Source organism: Homo sapiens, chromosome 4 (assembly GCF_000001405.40).
Source record: "Homo sapiens chromosome 4, GRCh38.p14 Primary Assembly".
Classification (NCBI taxonomy): Eukaryota; Metazoa; Chordata; class Mammalia; order Primates; family Hominidae; genus Homo; species Homo sapiens.
Window position 1 is genome coordinate 63,579,426 of NC_000004.12, and position 2,776 is coordinate 63,582,201.

The window sequence follows — 2,776 nt, forward strand, 5'->3', positions numbered from 1 at the left end:
GAAACTGGGGACCTGGCCTAATAAGATGTCTTCCAAGAGGCAAAAAATAATCCCTTGCTTAGAAAAGTTCCCTGTATTCATGGGAGTATGTTGACTCTTTTCATGGTGGGGGGTGGGCAACAAACCTAAATGCAAGGGAGGAAAGGTGCTTGGGGGAAGTAGCCTCTTGCCCTATGCTAATGAACTTCTTCAACAGGGGAATGAAGACTCACAATCATAATATCCTCCTTGCTTCTAAGAATAGACAGAAACCACATTGTTCTGAATTACACTCCTGATGACTGAGCCAAGTGCACTTTCTACCCAGTTATATTATCTCTGTGGTTTGCAACAACACCCTTAACATCTCATATATATGTGTGTGTGTGTGTGTGTGTGTGTGTGTGTGTGTGTGTGTGTGTTGGGAATAGGCCCCAAAATCTGGCCATAAACAAAATCTCTGTAGTACTCTGACATGCTCATGATGGCCTTGATGTCCAGCTGGAAGGTTGTCGGTTTACCGGAATGAGGGCAAGGAACACCTGACCCACCCAGGGCGGAAAACCACTTAAGGCATTCTTAAACCACAAACAATAGCATGAGTGATCTGTGCCTTAAGGACATGTTCATGCTGCAGATAACTAGCCAGGGCCCATCCCTTTATTTCTCGTAAGGAATACTTTTAGTAAATCTTAAGACTGGCTTGCTGTGAATAAATATGTGGGTAAATCTCTGTTCAAGGCTCTCAGATCTGAAGGCTGTGAGACCCCTGATTTCCCACTCTACACTCTATATTTCTGTGTGTGTGTCTTTAATTCCTCTAGTGTCGCTGGGTTAGGGTCTCCATGACAGAGCTGGCCTTGGCATATATGAGCCATGACAGCCACGAAAGAAAAAAGTAAATGAGACAGAAAATGCTGGAGGTCCTAGTGCTGACACCCTAATGGGCTGTTGGGGACTGGCGTCAGTCAAGTGGCCTTTGGATAAGACCAATGTGCAGCCTCAGCCAGAGACCCTCAACTGCCCCAGGACCTCCTTCCAATCCCATGTTATGGTTAGACCTTCATGAAAATAAACTGGATTGGAAAAAAGCCAACATTCTCAACAAGTGAGTGTGATGGGGAATTGACAAAGTCCTCCTCAGCAATTATGTTCTCTGCAGTCATGCTATCCAAGTCTTGGGTCAGCACTTACTTACCCTTCTGACAATTCTTGATGAATGACCCCAAAATGTTGCAGCTTTTGTAGTTCAGTGAGCTGGAAGAAATAGCTCCCAGTGACTTTTTCTCCCCTATTGCTGGATGAGCAGGAGGGAGAGTTACAGTGTTTCAGGATTCTTTCAGTGCTGCTTCCACAGCTGGAAATCTCTGCAGCCACCCTGACCTCTACCCAGGACCTTGCTCAGGCCTACCAGGCTTGCTCCAACAACTCAGCCTGCCAGGCTGCACTTAGCTTGCACTGCTGGGACAGATCTTGTGCCTGCCACAGCTGCACATTTAGCCTGCAGCTGGACTGGGTGTGCCACAAGCAGCTTCCACTTTGTGTGCTGGCATCTAGATGAGGTGCATGCAGTGGTGCCTGAAAACTTAGAGATGTCAACAACTGTGGGGCCCCAAGGGGTGTTACAGCTTTTGCCTGGGGAGTCCCAAGGTCTCAGTCCCCAGGAAATGTTACAGCTCTCTCTCTTATTTTTGCTGCCCACAGCTCAGTGAACAGGGGCAGGTCAAAGCTCATTTGTTTCTGCCACATGCAGCTCAGTGAGTTCTGGGTTCTTGTACCAAAGGAATAAAGGATGTGGACACAGGAGATTAAGTAGGGCAGAGAATAATTTTATTGAGTGAAGTGAAGCTCTCAGCAGAGAGGGGAACTGAAAGTGGGTAGCTGCCTGTGTGACTCAGTCTGGGGTTTTTATGGGCTCAGAATGAGGGAGTGTGTGCTGATTGGCCCATGGGTGGTCTTGGAAAAAGCACCATTCAATTGTTTAAGAGGCATCGAGGAAGTTCTCACTTGGGCCACAAACTGCATCTGGAAGCAGATGCAGCTTGGTTTTCAGGCTTCAGGCTGTCTTTGGCTTGAAGATCAGGTTTCACTGGGGACCCATCCCTGTCTGCTTAGGAGTTTGTCTGTTTTTTGTTGCTAAAAGTGATCTGCCCACCTCAGCCTCCCAAAGTGCTGGGATTACAGGAATGAGCCACTGTGCCTGGCCACTCATTTCTTTTTTAGTGCCGAAGAATTCCATTGTCTAGAAGTATTTACTGTAAACTATGAAATTTGAGTAATAATAATTTGTCAATGTGTTACCAAAATGCCAGGGGTTTGGTCTAGGTCTCATTGCCCACCACACAAGAAATCCAATGACAGAGAAAACAAGTACTGCCATGGAAGAAGGCATTAATAAGGTGCTATAGCTGAAGTGTTGGGATATGAGTCTCAAATCCATCTCCTCAACTGGATAAATTTAGGGGTTTATATACCAAAGAAGAAATGCAACTATGAGTTTGAAAACAGGAATAAGGAGGGGTAAAGCTGATGAGTTGGTCAACAAGCAGGTTGTTGGTTAGGTAATCATCATGAGTGAGGGGACTGGGGTCTCATTGTCTAAATATGGTGATCTGGTAAGTTTTAGCTCCTTAATACTATCTGGGAGGCCTGAAAGTTGGTTTCCCGAGGAAGGAACTCAGATAAGACAAATGTAAGTTTCAATCTTTAAGAGTGGTAGGGTAAATTTCTATGTACCAAAAATCAGTAAATATCCGTTGTATGGGAGAGTTGAGTCAGTTTCAAATACAGTTCATAA

General features: G+C 45.5%; 1 annotated feature.

Annotated features, from left to right (window-relative positions):
* Positions 1,630 to 1,759: an enhancer, noted in NCBI's record as "active region_21593". NCBI's record gives its function as "activates an Ori minimal core promoter by ATAC-STARR-seq in GM12878 lymphoblastoid cells {active_cell/tissue: GM12878}" and the evidence as "EXISTENCE:reporter gene assay evidence [ECO:0000049][PMID:35858748]".